The sequence below is a fragment of the Homo sapiens genome, chromosome 2 (assembly GCF_000001405.40).
Source record: "Homo sapiens chromosome 2, GRCh38.p14 Primary Assembly".
In the NCBI taxonomy this organism is placed as follows: domain Eukaryota; kingdom Metazoa; phylum Chordata; class Mammalia; order Primates; family Hominidae; genus Homo; species Homo sapiens.
The window spans coordinates 213,726,401-213,752,638 of record NC_000002.12 but is presented as its reverse complement, the minus strand read 5'-3'; the positions used below and the strand labels follow the sequence as shown (position 1 = coordinate 213,752,638).

General features: G+C 35.9%; 1 protein-coding gene across 17 annotated transcripts in view, besides 1 other annotated feature; it reads right to left on the bottom strand.

Annotated features, from left to right (window-relative positions):
• Window positions 1–26,238, bottom strand: part of SPAG16 (sperm associated antigen 16) — a 1,126,038-nt gene that overhangs the window by 657,863 nt on the left and 441,937 nt on the right. The gene's annotated exons all lie outside the window — the stretch shown is intronic.
• Window positions 18,301–18,440: an enhancer, noted in NCBI's record as "active region_17067". NCBI's record gives its function as "activates an Ori minimal core promoter by ATAC-STARR-seq in GM12878 lymphoblastoid cells {active_cell/tissue: GM12878}" and the evidence as "EXISTENCE:reporter gene assay evidence [ECO:0000049][PMID:35858748]".

The window sequence follows — 26,238 nt, the reverse complement described above, 5'->3', positions numbered from 1 at the left end:
CAACAGAGGAATGTCAGTAAAAGAAAGTGAAACTTTTGAAAGATCAGGCATTAAATGACCATGAGAAAAGATAAAATCATGAGTAATTCGATAAGGCCTTTATTTTCCGATCTCACTATGTTTAAAGAAAGCTTAAAACCTTAAGCATTTTAGAAGTTTTCAAGAGAAAGAAAATGTACTATTTATTATAACTACAGAAGAAACACAGAAGTGGAGGAAAGAATGGTAGAGGAGAGAAAGGTCAGGGAAGATTAGCACTGATAATATCTTACAAAGAGGGGAGTCAAAAATCATATTTCTAGAGCTGATGGAAAGGTGATAAAAGTACATATTATTTAAATTAAAAACATAATAAAGAAATTAAAATGGTGATATAACTACATTGGGTGGCTATGGGGAGAGGAGCTGGGAAGAAGGTTAAGAAGACAAAGTCCTTATCTAGTCTAGCAGAAAAATCAACGGAATATGTCTCGCATGAGAAAATCATGATTGTTGGAATACGTGTGTTATTCAGAGATATGAAGTAACCACCAAAATAACAAAACCCAGAAAAATTAAAAAGCAATTGTTTCTAGCTACGGCAATTTGGAGTGGGAGTAGTGGGGCCAATAAATTGCTACCTTTAATTATAGGTATCACCTTTACTTTTTCGGTTTAGTTTACAGTTTTGATTTAATTTGTTATGAATTGTTTCCAATTTGGTTTTGTGGTCTCTCTCAAGACTGGCCATAAGCTCCAGCCCTGTTCTGACCTGGAAAGTAAAAAAACTGGGCCTGAGAGTTTGTAGCATGCCTTTTTTGGGCTATTTCTTTATCCTGATGATGGCCTAATGCCTAAGTATCTCACTGTGACCAGGTCGTCCTTTCACAGGAAACTTGTTTATACAGCAGATACCCTTGTTTATTCTTGTCAAGACAGCCACTGCCCAAAAGAGCTCTGGCTGAATATAAGGTTAAGTTCAGGCGTGCGTGTGCGTCAGGGGAGACACAATAAGGAAGTGAAGCCACAGTGCAGAAAATAGAAGATATTTATTACTCACAGATTCCAGAGAGGTTGGGGTGACAACAGGAGGCTGACGGTAAGACTGGAGGTGGCAGGGAGTTCACCCAGTGAGCAGGAAACGATGGAGAGAACCTGGGTGGCTACACCATTATTAAGGCCTATGAGTGTTACCACTTAGGCTTTCCCTCAGAGGTTGTGGATTAGCTGGTTTAAAGAAAACACGTGTGAAGGGAGAACTTATTTACATTATTCTAATATTGAACACTAGGTTTTCTCGTGATTAGCAGCTGTGGGGTATGTTGAGTTTAGGGTCAGTGGGATGAGGAACAAGTGGGCTATATTGCAAGCAACCATACGTGGAGGAGAAATTTTAACTAGGTTATGACCAGGTTTTAAATAACTATGTCAGCCCTAAAAATAAATGTAGAGGCAGCAACTATAGTAAATAAAATTTATAACATTTACCATATAAGTACATTTTCTTTAGTAAAAAAAAAAATTAACAATTGAAGTAAATAAAATTTAAAATATATTATTGTTAATTGTATCAATTAAATGCAGAGACCAACTACATTTTTGTAGTATAAACATAAAAAATGCATTATGAAATTTTAAATAACTTTCTGAATCATATTGAAGGCTGAAAACAGACTTTACATTGCATTTAACAGAACAACTGTGAGGGTCACAGAACTAGATGACCCAAGGAGTTAATGTATCATCGGTGGTCCAGAAGCTGGCCATGATTAGGAAGCTGTTATGATGAGGATGCAACCCATATTAAGGGAAGCATTATTCTGGTAAGACACTCTACAGATATCAGATAATTCTATCAGGAGTCTGCCAGCAGAAAAACCTTAGAAACATAGCCTAGACTGCTTTCCACCTTCCACATTTTACTCAAGTGCATCTAATTGGCAGAACCCAAATTATGAACAGAACTCAAGCTTCAAGTGGTCCTAGGAAACAGCCTGTGCAGCACAAAAGGTTGAATAGAGAGAGGTGAGGAAGTGACTCAATTCACCATCCACTATGACCAACGCCTAAACAAAGGAACATGAATTTTTAATCGATTGGAATTTACCAACAAGAGAACCTACCATCAAAGAGAATACAATACTTGTAAAAACATCAGTAAAAACTATATTGTAATAAAATATTATTTTAATTTTGGACAAATAGCTTTCTATAATAAAAATTCATATATTCCATTTCATTCATTTATAAAAGTCACAGCAGATAACATAAAGGTATGCTTTAATTTCTTCATTTGAAATTGTGATACATATTTCGATGTAACTCTTGTCATTTTACACTGTTTCAGGTAATATTAAAATTGAAGTTAAATTGTCTCTTTGAATGCAGGCAGCTGGCATTACTAATCTTGTTAAGGCAAATATGTGCTTGCATAACTGTAGCAATGTTAATCTTTACAAATACTTTGTATAGTGCTTTCTGTGTTTACCACCTTAACAACTCAGGTTTCTTGGAGTACTTGTCCTGCAAAGTAAAAATTAATTCTTATTTTGATGCCTATTAGTCGACATAGTTATTATTTCCAGGATACAATAAGTACTCCACTTGGCTTACTGTAAATACACAAAATATTGAATAATGCTGGGCCTCGGGATACAATGCAACAGGGCTAGATAGGTTTAGGTGTGGAAAACAAGATTAAAAGTACCTCAACCAGGGTTTTACTGATAATAAGTCATGGATTCTGCTACAAAATAAAACACATTTATTGAGTGTCTACATAGGCTCTTATAGTGTAAGTCATATAAAAAACAGGTGAACTTATGGAAAGAATTGGTCAAGAGAAAACTCAGTCTTTAAAATAAATTTATAGCCTAAGTAAAGAAATGACAAAAAGGAAAGAAGGAGAACAAAATAAAATCAAACTTATAAAAAGAATATCTAGGTAAGATTCAATAAACTAGGATATTTTCACTAAAAATTATAGCTAAATAGCCAAGATCTTTAGCTTAAGCAGTTTAAATCTAAGTTTGTTTTATTTAAATCTATAGTATACAACATATTCTCATTTCAAGTGAAGAACCATAAACTGATACTAGACACTACTTCAGCTATATGGAGGACAGAGATTTAACGTAGCTTTTCTCTGGGTGCTATCAGGACCATCAGTTATCTGCCCTTGTCACGTCACCCTTACAAGATCCTGAAGCTTCTAATCTACCCCACCTAGCACAGATTCACAGGTCAGGGATAGGAAAGCTTGTTTGGATAACTGATAATGAAATCATCAAATTTCATTTATGCTGCCAGGATATGTTAACTGGGAGAATACAGAAAAATATAAAATGGCCATTAAATACAATTATATAAATAGATTTATATTAAATATAAATGACCATTAAACATAAATATAAATATAATAGCAAAAGAAGAAAAAGTAGAAAATAAGTGGGAGCAAATAAAGTTTTTCTGAGTGTTTTTTGTTTTGTTTTGTTTTTGTTTCTGTTTTTGTTTTTCTGAGAGTCTCACTCTGTCACCCAGGGTGTAGTACAGTGGCGCGATCTCGGCTCACTGCAACCTCCGCCTCCCGGGTTCAAGCAATGCTCCTGCCTCAGCCTCCTGAGTAGCTGGGACTACAGGCGCCCGCCACCATGCCCAGCTAACTTTTGTATTTTTAATAGAGACAGGGTTTCACCTTGTTGGCCAGGATGGTCTCGATCTCCTGACCTCATGATCCCCCTGCCTAGGCCTCTCAAAGTGCTAGGATTACAGACGTGTGCCACCACGCCCCACCCTGAGAGGCTTTTTAACAGGTAAAGAATGAGGCAAATGAAAGTATTTTTTCACACAGAAAAAAACTAAAACACTGTTGTTTTTTACTTAAGCCCTAAGAAATTTTCTATTTATATTACATATCTAAAAAAGAATTAAATTGATCATCTAGGTATTAGTAATTATATCACATGTATTGATTTCTGAATTTGGGAAATTACACAAGATTATGTATAATAGTCCTTACGCTTACTTTCAGATTTCCTTTCTTATTTATATGTTAATGAATGATATACATAAAAATAAACACAGTAAACATATCCAATTAATAACTTTCAGTAGCATGAGCTATTTTTACATATTCTAATAATATTTTACAAAGAACTAATGAAATAAAACTTATTAATTATTTCTTCATTTTTTTTCAACTTAATAAAAAGAGAAAATATAGACTTGGAAAAGAACATAAACTTTTAATGCAAATTTACTTATATCTTTTTAAAGACATGTATATACTCCTATTTGTGTTTTATCTGAAAGAATATGAACAAATGTTCATTCCAGTTCTATGTATTAATCATACCTGAATAAAAGTGCTTCTGAAACATGCACAATGAAATATTTTTTCATTTAGGAATATGTTCCTTTTAAAAGTATTTCATAAAATATTCTTGAGGAAAACAACTCTATTTTTCGTAACCTGAAATTCATGAACTATGCTGTTAACAACTCTATGTCTATTTTTTGTAACCTGAAATTCATGAACTGTGCTGTAAGTTTATAATGGATACTGGAAGAAAAAAAAGAATTGATACATTTTTAAATAATCCAAAAGGATTAAGTCAATAACTTTTTTAAAGACAAGGGTATTATTAACAATAATCGTCCAACTTGAATAAATTAATTGCTATAGAACCCTGAGTTTTATATGGAAAGCAAAGGTGAAAGTTCAGCTGTCTCAATAGCATACTTCTGAATGACAGAATATGTTTTATTGTGGCAAGATTTTGATCATCAGATGAACTGATTCAAACGTTACAGACAAATAAATGATCTTTCTGCTAAACCATAGTCATGTATCCCTTAAAGACGGTGATGTATTCTGAGATGGTATCAAGACGGTGATGTATTCTGAGATGGTATCCTTCTTCGAACATCATTGAGTGTACTTATACAAACCTAGATAGCAGGGCCTACCCCACACCTAGGCTATATGGTCTAGCCTGTTGCTCCTAGCCTACAAACCTGTATAGCATGTTACCATACCGAATATTGTAGCGATAGTAACATAATGGTAACTATTTGTGTATCTGAACACAGAAAATTTGTGCAAAAAATACAGTATAAAGATAAGAATGGTATACCCATATTGAGCACTTACTATGAATGGTGCCTACAGGACTGCAATTTGATCTAGGTAAGAAAGTGAGTGAGTGGCGAGTAAATGTGAAGGCCTAGGACGCTAGTGTACATTACTATCGACTTTATAAACACTGTACACTTAGGCTACTCTAAATTTATAAAAAATATTTTATTAAGTAATAAATTAACCTTAGCTTTCTATATTTTTACTTCATAAATTTTTTAAAATCTGTTTTGTTCTTTTGAAATAACACTTAGGTTAAGACACAAACATGTACAGCTATACAGAATATTTTCTTTATAGATTTCTTTTATAAGACTTTTTGTATTTTTAAAAACTGTTATCTTTTACTGCTTGAACTTTTTTGTTAAAAGCTAAGACACAAGCACATACTTAGCCTAGGCCTACACAAGGTCAGGGTCATCAATATCACTGTCTTCTACATCCACATCTTGTCCCCCGGAAGGTCTTTGGGGGCAATAACATGCATGGAGCTGTTATCTCCTTTTATGACAATACCTTCTTATGGAATACTTCTTAAAGGACCTGAGACTGATTTACAGTTAACTTTTTTTTGATAAGTAGAAGGAGTACACTCTAAAATAATGATAAAAAGTACAGTAAATACATAAACCAGGAACAGTCATCTATTATCACTATCAGGTATTACGTATTGTACACAATCATATGTGCTATACTTTTTCTTTTCTTCTTTTTTTGAAATGGAGTCTTGCTCTGTCGCCCAGGCTGGAGTGCAGTGGTGCGATCTTGGCTCACTGCAACTTCTGCCTCCTGGGTTCAAGTGATTCTCCTGCCTCAGCCACCCTAGTAACTGGGACTACAGGCACGCACCACCACGCCCAGCTAATTTTTGTATTTTTGGTAGAGACAGGGTTTTTGCCATATTGGCCAGGCTGGTCTCGAACTCCTGACCTCGGGTGATCTGCCTGCCTCAGCCTCCCAAAGTGCTGGGATTACAGGCATGAGCCACCGCACCCGGACTGTGCTATACTTTTATATAACTGGCGGTGCAGTAGGTTTATTTACATAAGCATCACCACAACCACAGAGTATTGCCTTGCACTAACACATCATAACGGCTACAGTGTCACTAGGTGATAGGAATTTTTCAGCTCTGTTATAATCTTATGGGACACTATAGTATATGTGGTTCATCATTGACCAAAATGAGGTTAAGTGGCATAAGACTGGATTAACATAGTTTTTCAGAGAGTATTACTGTCAGTAATTGCAGAACTCTGCAACTTCAGGCGGCTTTAGATGGATGGCACTTAAATAAAAGACAATATTCCAAAAGACTTCAGTGGCTTAATGGATAAAGTATGATGAAAAATACATATTTGGTTTCAAGTAATATCTATGTGTCTATGACAAAAAATATGCCAGGGGTCAGAATTTCAGTAAATCTGTTTCCCTGCATCTGACGTCCACAAGTCAAAGCATCTTAAACAATGAGGAACTTAGTCAATTAAATGTTGATCATTCATTTCAGCCAGGAAAGATCTGTAATTCTGATCTTAGCATAACAGCATGAAGCAATTGTACGAGAAATCAAGACATAAAGAGATGAAACCTACCACCTTTCTTAAGTTAAACATGAACAATAGAAAAATCTGTGTTAAAAGTGTACCATCAAATTTTATGTACTCAGTTCACCATTTCAAATAATCTCTTTTATTATTACATTCTAGTATTTAAGGTCAAGAAGTGATTTTTCAAAATCAAACCGATGTCCCTTTTTAAAGTTGATTATTATAAGATATTTTTATAATTATGGCATTTGAATAAAGCACCATATACTAAAGACATACCAATAAGGAAGTGAAACATGTACGCAAAATTCAAAGCTATTTTTAAATATAACAATTTTGGAAAATGCAGATATACTATTTTTCTTAAAAGTATGAATATATCTATAACTTAAATATAAAATCATGATATTTAATAAGTATGAAATAGTTGGGCCAGGTGCAGTGGCTCACGCCTGTACTCTCAGCACTTTGGGAGGTCGAGGTGAGTGGATCACCTGAAGTCAGGAGTTCAAGACCAGCCTAGTCAACATGGTGAAACTCCGTCTCTACTAAATATACAAAAATTAGCCAGGCATGGTGGCAGGCACCTGTAATCCCAGCTACTCGGGAGGCTGAGGCAGGAGAATTGCTTGAACCCGGGAGGCAGAGGTTGCAGTGAGCCAAGATCATTCCATTGCGCTCCAGCCTGGGCAACAAGAACAAAACTTCATCTCAAAAGAAAAAAAATAAATAGCTACATATTTAAAATATGAATGTATCAGAAATAGATCAAATTAATTTATGTAGTATAGATAGTTTTTTAAAATCATAGACATCTGCATTTAATTAATTGCATTGTATAACTGGTTAACTTTTTAGAAAAAAAGAAAAAGCTAATTCACAAATAGAAGTTGAAAACGTGAAACCATAACAGTTTTGGAAAAGTTGTGTAGGTGAATTTATGTTTGATCTTCAAATGAAGAAAAATCAACGTATGTCATACAATACCCAAAATCCATAAATGAGTATAAAACTTTAAAAATAGGCAAAATGGAATTAAAAGTAAACATGTATTTTTGTTTGAAAATCTATGAATGCCAGAATTTTGTTACAGATGTTCTTGTGAGTCACCAGAAATGTTAATATGGAAGTGGTAAAGGTGTATCTAATGGCACCTTATATGTATGGTATTTAAACCACCATATGCCAAACTATGTATCCAGTTGCAGTGTGAAATGAATTAGATTCAAATCACATAGTTATCAGCCTTTTTCCTTCTCAAAGTCTTCCTCCATCCCTTAATGATTAACCACTTCTCCCAGTGTTTTATTATTAAACAGTTCCTAATACTTCCCATTGATTTAAAATCATTATTTGTAGAGAACAATGACACAAAGATACTATGGATGATTCCATTGTCAGATGGAGTCTCTAGCTAAAAAGTATTAAAAACTAGGTAATGATAATATATTATTTTGTGATTACATGTATAAATATCTCACTAAAGACCTGACAAAAAAAAGAGTAAAGACAGAATTCCTTATTCTTAGATAACTGCCAAGCTTGGAGAGCTCAAGCTTCCATGATCACAGACTGATAACCTGGGCAGGAAGCTTGGGATGACTGTGGGGTGGTAAGAGAGAAATAAAGTAAAATCCAGTTTCCAGCCAACATGGAAAATCAAGGAGGAGATTCTCAATTATATAACTGTATCCTCAGAGGGCACATGCGACCCAGAAATATGTGCACCTACTTCATTGACAACCCAAGGAAGCTGAAAAAAAGAAAAAGCTGCTTTGGTTCAGAGCTGTCCAAATATTAATACATATCAACTGAGCAGACAAAACATCCTTCAACCTCCATAAACTACTCTCATATAGGGAGTGCTCTGGGAGGTAGCAAAAGTAAATCCTCTGAAGGAATGAATACACCTTCATTCTAGCCTCAAATATTCCCATGGATAATTTCCCAAGGAAAAAGAGATGCTCACACTAAAATATAACTAAGCATGCAAGAGGCAAGGTACCACGAAGCAGAAAAAGCAGGAATAAGAATCAGCAGAAGCAGAGATGAAAAATCTAAAAAGGAAGTTAAAATACATGAAGAACAGATTGAGTTCTAACACATTTAAAGTTTAAAAGGAGAACAGTGGGAAAATGGGACAGAGACAAGTATTTGAAGATGCTATGGCTGAGAATTTTCTAGAAGTGATAGAAGACAAGACGAGATCTAATGAACCCAAAAACAAGTTAATTAAAAAAGAAATGCGCAACAAATACAACACTGTGAAAATGAAGAGTATAGAATGTGAAAAGAAGTTTTTAGTAGTAGCCCGAGAAGACAGACAAATTTACCACAAAGGAGGGACAGTTTGACTGACAGCAGACTGCTCAACAGCAATAATGGAAGTCAGGTGTCAGAGAATTAATATCTTAAATGTCTTAATATTAAATAATAAAAGCATTCCTGTATGCTGAAAAACATTTTTTAGGATGAAATAAGATATTTCTAGGGAAAAAATAAGGGAGCACATCAGCAAATCTTCACAAAGGGAACATAAAAGATATACTTTGGACAGAAGGAAGTTGATCTCAGGATGGAGTGTAAGACACTTAAGAATAAATTCATTCTTTCACTCAATAAATATATAATTGGTGCTTCCTATAGGGGCCAGGCATTGTTCTAAGCACTAGGAAAAAATCCATGAATGTCAGTGTATTCAGAACATACATTTTAGTTGGAAGAGGAGATACAATAAACACTAAAATAATTTTTTAAAAAACAACAATACAGCCGGGCGCGGTGGCTCACGCCTGTAATCCCAGCACTTTGGGAGGCTGACGCGGGTGGATCACGAGGTCAGGAGATAGAGACCATCCTCGCTAACACAGTGAAACCCTGTCTCTACCAAAAATACAAAAAATTAGCCGGGCGTGGTGGCGGGCGCCTGTAGTCCCAGCTACTCGGGAGGCTGAGGCAGGAGAATGGCGTGAACGCGGGAGGTGGAGCTCGCAGTGAGTGGAGATCTCACCACTGCACTCCAGCCTGGGCGACAGAGCGAGACTCCGTCTCAAAAAAACAACAATACGGCATGTTAAATACTGGCAAATTTGTAGAATTAAGAAATAAGCAGCCGAGCACGGTGGCTCACGCCTGTAATCCCAGCTACTCAGGATTACTTGGAAGGCCGAGACGGGTGGATCACCTGAGGTCAGGGGTTCAGGACCAGCCTGGCCAACATGGTGAAACGCTGTCTGTACTAAAAAATACAAAAATTAGCCAGGCGTGGTGGTGGGCGCCTGTAATCCCAGCTACTCGAGAAGCTGAGACTGGAGAATTGCTTGCACCCGGGAGGTGGAGGTTGCAGTGAGGCGAGATTGCGCCACGCACTCCAGCCTGGGCGACAAGACCGAAACTTCGTCTCAAAAAAAAAAAAAAAAAAAAAAGAAATAAGCAAAATAAGACAGGAGGGATCAAGAGTGTACCTGTAGAGGTATTTATAATTTTATGTGAGGTGATCAGTGGGTATGGTAAATACGTGAGTAAATTTATAAACTAGTAATTGAACAGAACAATAAGATAATGTCTTGTTAGTATCATAACAGAATGAAATTAAAATATACAATAGTAACATGTCAGTCAGAAGAGGTGCAAATGGACTATACTAATGTCCTTGTATTCTTGAAAGGGAAGACAAATGAATTTATTAATATTCAACTAGAAGTATATAAGACAGAATCTGTACTGTCTCCAAAATTAGTAAACAATCTGTAAGTTCCAAAATTCTTAGGGAAAAAATTTAATTGAAAATGCTTTTGTAATAAAAAGGAAACCAAGAAAAGAGAGTAAAAAAAAAATACTAAACACAGAACAGCAAGTACAAAACCAGATGGCAGATTTAAACCCAAACACATTGGTATTACATCAACTATAAATTGATTTAATGCTCCAATTAAAAACAAATGAGAACTAGATTAAAAAAACAAAACTATAAGCCACTTACAAAAGACTTCTACAACACAATTACACAGAAAGGTTGAAAAAAGAATGAAAAATAATAACCATGCACATATGAAGCCAAAGAAACCTAGTGTAACTCTATAAATATTAGACAAGAGAGTTCAAGGAAAAAAGAGAACAACTCAAAATGATACAGGTTTAATTCAACAGGTAGATATAACAATTGCAAATCCAATTTGAGTTAATAATATAATCTCTAAATTTATAAAGCTGAATTTACAATATACCTATCAAGCTATTTGGCACATATATAAAATGACTAATGTAATGTTTAGTCATTGTAAAATCCCTAAGATTTTACACTGCAATAAAAATGGCCTTCTTGGAAACATTCAATTTTAGTTTGCTATGAATTATTTTTTAAAATCTGAAATCAACATTATAATCTCTGCTTTCTTTTATCTGTACTTGATTAATATAACTTTGACTAAACTTTAATTTATCATCTCTGTGTATCATTTTATTTTACTCAGCGGTTTACTTTTTTTTCCTTAGTCTTTCAACAGGTAAGGTTAACTCATTTACAATTATGATCCTAACAGATATTTGCTTCTGGTTTTTGAAGGCAATGGAGCATACTCAGACTTGGGGAGGTAGAGAATACTGATTGGATTTAATTCAAATTCCAACATATAGGAGTCAGCATATCACCCAATCTGTCTGTCCTTAACTTCCTTTATTTTTGAAATGGAAATAATAACAATAATGTATTATTAAATATACTTATACATAGAAAATGTTTAAAGTGGTGCCTGTAGACATGCGCTTAACTAGTATTTTTTATTTTATTCAGATTTTTATCATATATTCTTACTTTACCCTTACCTTTAATAAAGATTAATAAGATTTCTCCTTAAGAAACATTTATTATATTTTAATTTCTTTTAGTTGTCACATTAACTAAAGTTATGAGGCGTTAAATTAATAGTTGAATAACTTAATGCTCAGCACCTGCTGTTTTAGCCCTAAAATTCCCCAAACTTTAAAAACTCACACTATGGCATGATATATTTTAAGGAAACATAGGTTGAAAGAACAGTTAATTTCTGTTTTAATCTGTTTGAAAGTGGTTTCTATTGCCTCAGCAGTCACTGATGGGGATGGTTAGAATGCTGTCAATAAATGATAGTGAAATGGGTTCCAAGTAATTGGTCTTTCTTTGTCCATAGCCCAGCTTCACCTTCACGCCCCATCTTTACCCCACACTCTTGGGTGTTCAGCCAACAGTTACCCTTTCTCTTCCTCTTACTGACTTTGCCACAGCCTCTCACTGAGGAGGTTAGTAAGTTACCCTTGTTATTTTCACTTTACACAGTGTATATGCCCTATAACTAGTAGAAGTCTGTGGCATATGATGCCTTGCTGATACGGGACTTCCCCCTGGAGTTTATTCATTTGCTCATTTCAGTAAGCATGATGAGAGTGAGGCAAATGATGATGGCCTGAACTACAACGCAATCTACCAGAAGACTTAAAATTGACTTCTTAAAAGAAAATGTGGCCCTCTTTACAGGCAGAGCCTTCACTCACCTCTTTTTGGTAGTGAGCAGCTGTTCCTTTCTGGTCCACTCCCATTTCATAAGACATCAACCTTTCACATTTCATAAGACATCAACCTTTCTTTACAGTTTGTTACAGAAACTTCACTCAACTAATGAAGTGTCTACCTCAGATTTTATATTCCTGGAGTCATCTGTTTAAACCTCAGAATAGAGATTATATTGATTATTTTACCACTCTTAGCTCTAATTTAGGAGACATTACTAAAAATAATTTGTAATTATAAATTATCTTACAGCTACATCTCTGATGTAACATGATATTAAATTTAACTTCATTTTTAGGTATATATGTAATGTGTAATGTAATATGATTTTTCAGTCTAAGGAAAGGAGTCATTTTATAAAATCTTTATTCTTAAGAATAAAGGGACAAAATAAATCTTGGCTTTCCAAAAGAATTCATAGTATTGTTGCCCTAAAAACTAAGTGCTTCCAAATGTATTTGAAATTCAAATATATTAATACAAGTTATATTTATATTTAATTTTTCAAAGGATATGCAGAGATTTTGGCCAGGCACAGTGGCTCACGCTTTTGGTCCCAGCACTTTGGGAGGTCGAGGCAGGCAGATAGCCTGAGGTCAGGAGTTTGAGACCAACCTGGCCAACATGGTAAAACCCCACCTCTACTAAAAACACAAAAATTAGCTGGCCGTGGTGGCCCATGCCTGTGGTCCCAGCTACTCAGGAGGCTGAGGCAGGAGAATCACTTGAACCTGGGAGGGAGAGGTTGCAGTGAGCCGAGATCCCACCATTGTGCTCCAGCCTGGGCGACAAAGCAAGACTCCGTCTCAGGAGGAAAAAAAAGAAAAAGCAGAGATTTTAAATTAGGGAATATTGTAATTTAGTGTCAAAACAATTTTTTCCATAAATGATATGCTGAACTATGCTCCACTAAATAAGTATGCCTAGATTAAGAGTTTATTTTTAAAGAATTCATGATAAACTTGTGGATATCTATCTAAGTAAGGTAAGAACTAAATGAAACTTAGGGAAGAAAGAACTTTTTCAAAGGTAACAGATGTGCATTTGAGAATTTATTCAATGAATATTTATCCTGTAAATGAAATATTACTATGCAAAGACACATTTTAATTCTGAATAAAAGCAATGAAACCTACATTATAAAATAAGTAGTTATAAAATTAACCTGTTGAAGTACAAGTAATAGGGGGCCAAATTAACCAAACCACATTATCCTACTGAGGCTACGTGGGAAATAAATAATCTGAAATCAGAACTCTTCATGAACCATTTGTTATAAATTGCTACTAGGATAATAATAAGATGAGCAAATATTAGATGAGCAAATTGCCCAAATAAAACAAAAACTGACTTTTCTGTCATGAGCAGAAGATGATTGATTTTGCTATGTTAACAATCCCCAAATCACAGTTGTTTAAGTAAAAGTAAGCAAAGACTTATTTCCTGTTTATCCTATATGCATATCAAGATCAATATGAGCAGAACAGTCACTCTCTGTAACGTGGCTACCTGTGGCAGAAGAAAATGAGCTTGAGAATGTCATACTGGCAATGAAATCTGGCCAGAAGATATGTCTGTTCCAAACCCACTGGACAGAACCTGTCTTAAAGCCCTATCTCCCCAAATGGAGCCCCTAAAAAGTGCAATCCTACCATGTGTTAAAAAAGAACGGAGAGTTGGAAATAATTGGTGAACAGCATTATAACTATCATATTTTTCATACAGTATATTTTTAACTATGCTAAACTGACAATAATAACAAAAACAATAAAATAATAGTAAACTAATATCAGAAAGCAATGATAATTTTTAATGTCTTATGGCACCTCTGTATTGATATAAGTTATAAGGTATATATTTGCCATGACTTCTCATTTTTAAAATTTTATAGTGGTACTTCTCAACATTCAATTTTTCATATGCCAAGAATAGTAATGTAGCTACTGTTATGAAATAAATTAGTTTCATATCCTTAAAGGCATTATATTTTAAGGAATGTGGAAAATCTTTTACAGGTTTATCAGTCATCACTCTCATATGCTCTATCTTCTGAATAACTGGTCATTAATCTCCTACCTTGCCTAATTTATAAATTAAATTTTATCATAAGTATGTATGTTTAGGGAAAACATAGCATATATAGGGTAGGGTTCAGTACTATCTACAATTTCAGGCATCCACTGGGGGTCTTGAAATGTATCCCCCATGTAAAGACGGACTACTATACTTAACTATACTGGCTCTACAAAATGTTCAATAATGAGATTTGAGAATGTAATCAATTTACAGTCAGTAAAATAACAAGCTGTTCAATATGAATTATCTTGCACTGTAAGGCAATAAAACCAGGATATTATTTGAATGCTAAAGTTTTTAGAAAACTATAAAGTGTTTAGAAAGAGAAAAATTTAAAACTACAATGAAGAGAAACACTTAAGAAATTCAATGAATGAATGAGTGATAATTATGGCTTAAAAGAGGGGCAGAATTTTTTTAAAAATATTGATAGGTAGCAACTATAGACAGAAAAAGAGACACAACTGGGGCAAAATGTCATGCTGACAAAAATCGAAAATAACTTCTCAACCTACATTTACTAATGTTAAGAAGAAAGTATACATGTAAGAAAAAGTAATGAGAGGCCAGGCGCGGTGGCTCACGCCTGTAATCCCAGCACTTTGGGAGGCCGAGGCGGGCTGATCACAAGGTCAGGAGATCGAGACCATCCTGGCTAACACGATGAAACCCCGTCTCTACTAAAAATACAAAAAAATTAGCCGGGCGTGGTGGCGGGCGCCTATAGTCCCAGCTACTCGGGAGGCTGAGGCAGGAGAATGGCGTGAACCTGGGAGGCGGAGCTTGCAGTGAGCCGAGATCGCGCCACTGCACTCCAGCCTAGGCGACAGAGCGAGACTCCGTCTCAAAAAAAAAAAAGAAAAGAAAAAGAAAAAGTAAGGAGAAAAAAAGTTGGTACTAAACGGTTAAATGTTACCAATTATATAACAGCATAGAGAATGTCTTGAAGCCATTAAAAGTGATAATTTTGAAGACTCCGTAGAAATACAGAATTACATTAGCAAACAACAAAAAATATAAAGAGTATAGTATGCTATAACTGCAAACACGTATGCACAAAGAAAATTGGAAGAAAGTGCAAACGTGAATAGAATAGTGTGAAGGTGTAGATTCCCCTTTTTGCTGATATTCGTTAAGTTTTGTTGTATATCATAATTTTTTCTAGAAAGTTATCAGCCATAAAACTGCAATCACAATTCATAGATTTTCTATAGAAATAAAAATTAATAAAAATAAATCAAGAACCATCATCTTAGTGACATAGTGAATAAATTTGAAACTGATAAAATGTTGGCTGCCTTAATAGGGCTGCTAACATGAGTTAGTTGAAAAGATCAACAGCATTGGGCTGGGCATGGTGGCTGACGCCTGTAATCCCATCACTTTGGGGGGCCGAGGTGGGCAGATCACCTGAGGTCAGGCGTTCAAGACCAGCCTGGCTAACATGGTGAAACCCCGTTTCTACTAAAAATACAAAAAATTAGCTGGGCATGGTGGTGCGCGCCTGTAATCCCAGCTACTTGGAAGGCTGAGGCAGGAGAATCACTTGAACCGAGGAGGCAGAGGTTGCAGCAAGCCGAGATCTCGCCATTGCACTGCAGCTTGGGGAACAAAAGTGAAACTCTGTCTCAAAAAAAAAAAAAAATTATTTAAAAATATATGCACACATCAATTAGATTAATTTCTATATGCTTGGAGAAATTTATTTCTTAATTTGGTATTAAGATCTCTATTTTTATTACCCCTGTGAAACACACTTCAGTTGTCATCTTATTAAAATCTGAACCTGTAATCCAAACACTTTGGGAGGCCGAGGCAGGTGGATCATCTGAGGTCAGGAGTTTGAGACCAGCCTGGCCAACATGGCGAAACCCTGTCTCTACTAAAAATACAAAAATTAGCCGGGTGTGGTGGTGGGTGCATGTAATGCCAGCTACTTGGAAGGCTGAAATGGGAGAATAACCTGGAAGGTGAAGTTTACAGTGAGCCGAGATCACACCACTGCACTCCAGCCTGGGTGACAGAGTGAGACTCCATCTCAAAAAAAGAAAAAAAAATCTGAACCTACAGCAATTAGGAACTCAAGAATTGATGTCATCATCATTATCTTTATTATGATAATCCCAAAACATTTTATAAAATGATATAATTATTTATTCACTCTATTAAAGAAACCTTGAGTTATCATGGAAAACAGAATGACAGTGCCTTTTAAAAAGCAAAAGTAACTAATTAAATTATTGAATAGAGTAAGCACAGTGAAATGAGAGGAAACAAATGGGTTTTAAATTTTTATTAAGCTGTATTAAAATTCTACCTCAGTGACATTGAGCAAATTCTTAATCTCCATAAATATCAATTCCCTCATCTCCAGTCATCCTCATTAGGATAGTGGTATCTCTGCCTGTCATTTCCCTCATCTGTATAATGACGGTATCTAAACTTACATTTTATGCCCCATCCATAATATTCAAAACATCCCAGTTGTAGTGCTAGACAATTCTAGACATAATATATCTTTCAAATAGTTTAATAATCTTCACAATGCTATGAAATAACTGCCATGGCAGAGACTGACTAGCTATTAATGAAATTCATCTCCTATCTTTCCTAAACACAGAGATGGAACATATTTCCCACCCATTCCCCTCTTTTACTTAAGTGTGGCAATCATAGCTGGACCTAAATTCTGGTGAGAGGAACGTGGCTAAAACTAGTATGTATCACTTCCACACTGGCCCCTAAAGGCTTTTCATTATTTTGCAATTTTCCCTTATCTTGTCTTGACTAATGGCTGGATACCAACTCCCAGTGCAACCTGGGAAACAATATGAGCTTCAGTTGATGAATCGCATGGTGGAAGAAGCCAGCACCTGGACTAGAGCTAACCTGACACTCAGTAACATTCTGTTTGGAATTTATATTACTGAGAAATACTCTTCTATAGGATTTGAAACATCCTGCATTTGGGGATGTTTGTTACAACTGTCAGTATTACTTTCACCAATTCGGGTGCTATTATTTTTATTTTGAATTGAGAAAATTGAGGAACTTTGAGTTTAATAAATAATTCACAATCACAAATCTGGTAAAGAGTTGCTCCAGAATACTAACCTAAATAATGTGACTCTAGAACCAGCACCTACATATTTAGTTTGGTGATTTATAAAAGATAACCATTATTATTAATCAAATAGGGCATGCATTCTCAACTAGGATAATAGCATGTTCAAGAGGTGAAAACTGGTTTATGGGGAAGGGGTAAATTAGGAGATATTACAGTGTTTTTGGACTTCTCAAGGGCTGCAGTACATAAGCAGATATGGAGTATATCTGCAATAGTAATAAAATTTTATGGGAGAGGGAGTAATTAGGAAAAAAAAATATCTAGAAAGGCACCTTAGGGGACAATAATGAATAAAAGGTTGAGACCTACTGAAACAGGCGATGGAGATTAACAATTGTCACATCATATGAAGTACAAAGCCATCATTTTATTTTATAATTACAGAATTTATTGGATATGCTACTTTTCAAAAGTTTAAAAATAATTCAAAAAAATAAATAGCATATTGTCTGGCTTATAATAAATGCCACTGAAAACTAAAGAAATTCATGTTCATACCAAAAAAAAACATGTCCAAGTCTACATAAAATGAAAGAATGAGAAAGAAGAACCCATAGCATTCTGGTGTATTTGCATATAACCCCTTTATTGCAACTGGATAAAATTAGTTATTTAAAAGTTATTAAAAAGACACTCACCTTCAAAATACATTCCAATTCTAAAAACTTGATTCTATAAATCTACTGCAAGCATATGATTTCTGTTATTTTTTCAAAGAGCATGTCCATATTTAGCAGCATATTTTATAATAAAAGTTTTATCTTATTTTGGAAGAAGGAAAAATACTTAATCTTTGCTCAGTTTATCTTTATTTTTTATAGTGACTATCAAGAAATGTCTCAATGCTTTTTTCTCTTGGTTTGGTGGGGAGAGAAGAGTGTTAGTTTTTCACTTCTAAAAACTGACACCCAATAGCTAAGAACTGAATTTAAGATGTTAGAATTGTGGGCAAATGGCAGTTTCCATCTAGCATTTATCTCTTTTCTTGCTGGGTCCTGCTCATGGCCAGTTTCATTTTACAGTCCTTGCAATTCTTTCCTCCCATCACTCGATCAAGAATGAAAACTGTTAGGTAACCTAAATCATACCCAGGGGCATAAATGCACGCCACAAGAGTAGGCCTAAACTGGACTTTCCCCAGAATTTAGACAGAGAAGTGACAGATGTTATATTCACAGAGAATCACAGTGAGTCTCAGTGTGATGTGAACTTCTAAATCTAGTAAGTTTCAGGTTTAGTAACGGACTCCTTTCTTTCTCTAGAAACTCATTTCCAAAAAAAGGAATATAAAAGTGGCTATAAAACAGAATAAAGGACTTCTGGTTTTAACTCTAATATGCCAAGAGCTTGCAAGTTGCTCCATCCTTAAAATAAGAAAAAGTTGAACAAACTAAAAACCATGAACTTTTCTTGAACCTATCAGAGAACTGAAGTCACTAGGCAAACCATCACCCTTAAATCTGGAGACAAGAGAAACACAACAGAAGTCTCACTTGAAACAGAAGCCACTGGAACCATAAATTGATGAGGACACCACAAAATGGTAATGTTGATAAAGTACTGGAGGTTAAGGATGGACTAGCTTGGAAACTAACTAGAAACCAAATACAAGAAAGTCTTGGAGGCCATAGTCTTGGGGAGGCCTTTACATTTTTGTTTGCTTTACTTTCAGAATCCCCACGATGTTCTCATGAAGACACACACCAAAAAAAAAAAAAAAAAAAATCCCTTCATAACTCTGGCAGAAGAAATGAAGAAATAATCATTGTGAAATACACTCAGGTCTGTTCTCCAAGGAAAATCACTTTCCCCCACCTTTATTGGGATATTCCTCCTCCCAACTGGAGGAAGAAAACTGTTCCCATTTCAACCCCTTCCAGCATTCCTGTCACAACAAAAAATGTGGAACCTACAGAATGAGAGAAAATTTCTGCAGTCTATCCATCTGACAAAGGTCTAATATTCAGCATCTATAAGGAACTTAAATTTACAAGAAAAAAAAAACAACCCCATTACAAAGTAGGTGAAGGACATGAACCCTTTACATGAACAGACATACTCGCAGCCAATAAATATATGAAAAACAGCTCAACATCAGTGAGCATTACAGAAATGTAAATCAAAACCACAATGAGATACCATCTCACACCAGTCAGAATGGCTATTAGTAAAAAGTCAAAAAACAACAGATGCTGGTGAGGTTGTGAGAAAAAGGAAAACTCTTACACTGTTGGTGGGAGTGTAAATTAGTTCAATTAATCTGGAAGACAGTGTGGCAATTCCTCAAAGACCTAGGGGCAGAAATACTATTCAACCCAGCAATCCCATTACTGGGTATATACACACAAAAATAGAAATAATCCTATTATAAAGACATGTGCATGCATATGTTCACTGCAGCACTATTCACAATAACAAAGACATGAACTCAACCTAAGTGCTTATCTTCAAGGAGAACTATAAATCACTGCTCAAAAAAAATCACAGATAACACAAGCAAATGGAAAAACATTATTCCATGCTCATGGATAGGAAGAGTTGATATTGTGAAAATGGCCATAGTCCCCAAAACAATTTACAGATTCATTCAATGCTATCCCCATTAAACTACCATGACATTTTTCACAGAATTAGAAAAAACTATCTTAAAATTCATGTGGAAACAAAAAAGAGCCTGAATAGCCAAGGCAATCATAAGCAAAAAGAACAAAGCTGGAAGCATCACACTATGCAATCTCAAACTATACTATAGGGCTATAGTAACCAAAACAGGGCTACAGTAATCTAGGGTAATAGTGGATCTTTTGAGCAGTGGCTTGTAGTTCTCCTTGAGGACATCCCTCCTTCACTTTCTTTGTTACCTGTATTCCTGGGCATTTTTTTTGCGGGGGGGGCAATCGTGAATGGGAGTTCATTTGTGATTTGGCTTGCCAAGATGGATGAACAGACACATTGACCAATGAAACAGAACAGAGAACCCAGAAATAAGACCACTCATCTACAACCATCTGATCTTTAACAAGTCTGACAAAAACAAGCAATGGGAAAAGGATTCCCTATTTAATAAATGGTGCTGGGAAAACTGGCTAGCCATATGCAGAAAATTGATACTGGATCCCTTCCTTACACCATCAACAAAAATCAACTCAAGATGGATAAAAGACTTAAATGTAAAACCAAAAACTATATAAACCCTAGAAGAAAATCTAGGAGATACCATTCAGAACATAGGCACAGGTAAAGATTTCATGACAAAAACATCAAAAGCCATTGCAACAAAAGCAAAAATTGACAAATGGAATCTAATTAACCTAAAGAGCTCCTGCATAGCAAAATAAACTACCAACGGAGTGAAAAGACAACCATCAAGAGTGGATAAAGAAAATGTAGTACATATACACTATGGAATACTATGCAGCCATAAAAAGGAATGAGATCATATCTTTTGCAGGGACATGGATGGAGCTGGAGGACATTATACTTAGCAAACTAACACAGGAACAGAAAAGTGGTAACTAAATTATGAGAACACATGGATACATTGTGGAGAACAACACACACACTGGGACGTGTTGGAGGGCAGGGGGTGGGAAGAGGGGCAGGATCAGGAAGAAGAGCCAATGGAAGATGGGCTTAATACCTGGGTGATGGGATGATCTGTGCAGCAAACCACCATGGCACACATTTACCTATGTAACAAATCTGCACATCCTGCACATGTACCCCTGAACTTAAAAGTTGGAAAAGAAAAAAAAAAAAAAAAACAGCTGGACATGGTGGCTCACGCCTGTAATCCCAGCAATTTGGGAGGCCGAGGTGGATGGATCACCTGATGTCAGGAGTTCAAGACCAGCCTGCCCAACATGGTGAAACCCCGTCTCTACTAAAAATACAAAAAGAATTAGCCAGGCATGTTAGTGGGTGCCTGTAATCCTAGCTACTCAGGAGGCTGAGGCAGGAGAATCACTTGGACCTGGGAGGCAGAGGTTGCAGTGAGCTGAGATCGCGCCACTACACTCCAGCCTGGGCAACAAGAGCAAAACTCCAACTCAAAAAAAAAAAAAAAAAAAACTCAGATATAATGTAGATGTTGGAATTATCAGACAGGGAACTTAAATTAACTGTGTATAATATATTAAGGACTCTAGTGGAAAACTAGAAAATATGCAAAAATAGAAGGATAATGTAAGCAGAGAGATGAAAACTCTAAGAAACCATAAAAAAATAAAAAAATGTAATAGAAATGAAGAATGCCTTTGATGGACTCATTAGTAGTCTTGGCACAGTAAAGGAAAAAATCAGTGAGCCTAAAAATTGGTCATTAGAAACTTCCCAACCCGAAGTGCAAAGTAACAAACAAGTAAAACAAACAAACAAAACAACACAACATTGAGGAGCTAAGGAACAATCAAAAGGCATAACACATGCCTAATTGGAATACCTGAAGAAGAAGAGAGAACAGAGTAGGAGAACATTGGAAGAAATAATGGCTAGAACTTCCTCCAAATTAATGACAAACACTAAACCAAATATTCAGGAAGCTCAGAGAACACCAAGTAGGAGAACTACATCATATTTAAACTTTAGAAAACCAAAGACAGAAAAATATTTGAAAGAACCCATAGGGGAAATAATGCCTTATCTATAGAGAAACGATAATAAGAATTAGCATAGATTTCTAGTCAGAAACCATATAAACAAGAGAGTGAAGTGAGTTATTGAAAGTATTGAAAGAAAAACCTATCAATCTAGAGTTATATTCAGCAAAATTAAGTGGAAGAGATGGAATAAAAAAGTCAAGACAATCCAATTATCCCACAAAGGGCAGGATACAAAATCAGCTGCTCTTATGGTAAAAATATGCTACTGATTTCCCTATAATTGTATTTTGATCCCAAACTTCTTCTTTATTCACTATACAATACTTATGATATGTTTCATAAACTTTGCCATCAACCACAGCCACTGCAGTTTCTTCCTTAACTGAGTCTTTCCCTAGTTGGTGTTACAATGAGTGAGATTGACTCAATGTCTTTTATATTAGAAATGGGATTCCTCTGATGGTTAAACTGCTAAAATCTGCAAAGTGGACGAGCTTAATCAACTGTGAATGAGTGATTTAGGCCACTGGATATTTCTGAGAGACCTGAGGTAATTGCAAGGAACCATAAGTGGAAACAGACCATGATTTATAAATGAAAATCAAATCACTGGTCCTCTCTCTAATTTGGAGCAAGAGTGTCTGCACGTAAAGAGTTGCTCATTTTGTTTAATTTACAAAAGGAGCATCCTCTCAGTCCAGTGATAGAGAGTTCATCTAGACATTAAATATAGAGGACTTGGTCACTGCCTAGCTGAGGACTGATGTTAGTCTGTTCTCACCAAGGCCTAAAGAGAATACCTTCCACAAAAATCTGATGTTTTTGCTCTCTGATCTTTGGTGTTTACTAAACAAATGTCTTTGCTTGCCATTCCCAAATATCCTCATTTTGAAAATAAGTTATAATAAATAGGGAACATCAGCACAGTTGTCCCTAGACAACTTTACATTAATCGGTAGAAATTCTTATTTCAATGTTGTTTATAAGCTGACAGATGTAGTTAGGCTCTGTAAATATAGTTTGATCAATTCCAGAGGCAAAGGACTGAGGGCCATTGGGTCACTGTCAAGATAATGCTACCTGATAAGACTCCTTGATGGCTGACATTCAGGCTCCTCCTGGCAAAAACTAAGCATCTCAGTTTGCTCTGCTCCTTTGTTGCCACGCTAAGTCTTATAATAATACTCACTGATGCTTACAGTGCTTATATGTACATTTTATTAGCTTTGTATAGCCCTGTAAGGTGAGCAATCTAAAAGGTAGTGTGTCCATTCTAGAATTGAGGGAAGTAAATCTCAAAGAGGTTAAAGAGTCATCCAGAGTCACACAGGAAGTACGTGTCAAAAACCAGACCCTATCTTCTATCCAATAATTCACTTGTCTTCTTAAAGAATATTCTTTGGAATATTAGCTATGTGATATTGTCTATTAAAAAATTCCTGATGATTTTGATAACCGCATATTTTATATTTTTACAACAAAATAACAAAGATCCTCAAGCCTAATAAATGTTGCAAGAAATCTTTTGTAGAGAAATCCAGCATTTCCTAATCGTATTTTACTTCTGAAACAATTTTTCATTGATCACCTATTAATGTTACTATCCCCATCAAAAAATAAATAGTTTGGGACATTTTCCAGTACATCATTCTCCTTATACCCATGCAAGCACTGTGGTCAAGGCTGCCATCATTCCATCATCTTTTTTTTTTTTTTTTTTTTTTTTTTTTTTTTTTTTTTTTTTTTTGAGACGGAGTCTCACTCTGTCGCCCAGGCTGGAGTGCAGTGGTGCAATCTCAGCTCACCGCAAGCTCTGCCTCCCGAGTTCGTGCCATTCTCCTGCCTCAGCCTGCCGAGCAGCTGGGACTACAGGCACCCACCACCACGCCCGGCTAATTTTTCGTATTTTTAGTAGAGACAGGGTTTCACCGTGTTAGCCAGGATGGTCTCGATCTCCTGACCTCAGGTGATCCGCCCGCTTCGGCCTCCCAAAGTGCTGGGATTACAGGCGTGAGCCACCGGGCCTGGCCACCATCATCTCCTTTTTGTATAAAGCAACATCTTCCTAAGTAGCATTCTGTTTCTGTCCTTATTCCCTGTGGCAGAGACTATAACGTGTTCTCTAAAACCCATTTCCTTTTCCTCCTGAACACAGATTTAGACGGCATCTCCCAGTTTCCTTTGCTGCTAAGTACAGCATATGATTGAGTTCTTGCCTGTGAGTTACTGGTGAAAATAATAACCACTGCTGCTCAAGTGCTTTTCGTTTCTCTTCCCCTGACTGCAGAAAGGTAGAAGGAGGCAGTAGACACTCTGGGGGCTGAGACTCTAAGGAAGCCACAAGCTCCACAAGCTGAATCTCTCACCAACTACTTGGAACAGAATTCCTCTCTGCCAAACACATTCATTTAGGTATATAAATAAGAGAAAAAATGATTATTGCATTAAGCCAGTGAGATTTAAGAACTGTCATTTGGCCGGGTGCAGTGGTTCACGTCTGTAATCCAAGCACTTTGGGAGGCCGAGGCAGGCAGATCACCTGAGGTCAGGAGTTTGAGACCAGCCTGACCAACGTAGTGAAACCTCGTCTCCACTAAAAATACAAAAATTAACCGAGAGTGGTGGCGGGTGCCTGTAATCCCAGCTACTCAGGAGGCTGAAGAAGAAGAATCGCTTGAACCCAGGAGACGGAGGTTGCAGTGAGCTGAGATCACGCCATTGCACTCCAACCTGGGCGACAAGAGTGAAATTCCGTCTCAAAATAAAATAAAATAAAATAAAAAGTCATTCATCTAATCTGACTAAAGCACCTCCCTTTTATGTTCTTTACATGTTAGCCAGTTAGATCATAGTAAAATGTAAGTCAATTCATGTCATTCCATTGCCTAGCATCCTTAGAGGTATCCCTTATCACTCAGCTTAAAAACCAAAATCCTTGGAATAGCTTCAGCCCCATTGCTACTTTTCTTCCCTTATCTCCCAACACTCCTTTTCTCATTTATTCCTCTCCATGTCACACTAACGCAATTGCTATGTAGAAACATTTCCACGTCAGCGCCTTTGTACCAGTTCTCCTTGCTTGGTGTACCCTTAGTGCAGGCACTGTCATGGATCACCCTTTCACTGGCTTCCTGTTTTTGCTCAATTATCTTCTCATTGATTTTTTTTCTTGACCACCTTATTTAAAATTGATATCAAGCACTCAAACCAACATTAGCAGGTCCTGTCACACTCCATTGATTTATATATTTTTCTCCACAGCACATATCACCATTAAATTATTTTTAAACTTTTTTTTAAAAAAACTGCCAGTCTCTTCTGCAGAATTAATCTCCAGGAAGGGAGGTTCTTTTGCATTGTATATTTCAGTTACTACTTAATTTGTAATGCCCAGCACAAATGATTAATTGATTGAAACAGTAAAGGCAATTGTCTAGAAAACCAATATTCCTGTATGATATGAAATTGAATTATTTATTTCCTCTAGGCATTGTCTGGTAAACACATGTACTTTAAATTTCAATGTATATTCATTATGTCTTGAGAAGTTGGGGATCGTGATTTGATAATATTAGATTATTATCAAAACAACTATAAAGACAATGATTCATATCAAGATTGAATGCATAAGAATTTTCACAAACTTTCCAAAGATAAAATTCTATTATTATATGCTCAAAATTAAATTTGCGGAGTAGAATGTCTAGTGTATTATATATTGTTCACTATCTTTTGAGAATCCTTAAGCCTAAAATGAGTAAATTGGAACAAAATAATCTGACATTTGTCTTTGACATTAAGGCTGCTAATTTCCCTAAAAAGTACTCTATTTTGTCGGATTCATCAGGACCTTCAGTCTTTTGGATATTTTAAAACAATCCATATGAGTGTGATCACATTAATGAAACCAAGTAGACACTTACTTTTGACACAGCTGTTTTTGTTATTCTAGCTCTTGAAATGTTCAAAGCAAATGCCAAATACCAATTCAAGACCAGTGTAGTGTGGTGCGTATGTGGGCACATTTCTGATAGAAACCGGCGAGCTCCCGATTTATCTTCATGTTGCTCAATATTTGATTGCAATGACTTTCAGAAGCTAAAATTCTTCACTTTTTTTTCAAAGCAAGGTTTGGCAACTAATAATCTCTAACTGTATTCTCTAGCTAAACACATTAATATGCTTTGAGTATTTTGGATAGGAATGGTGGTGTTCAGTTATCC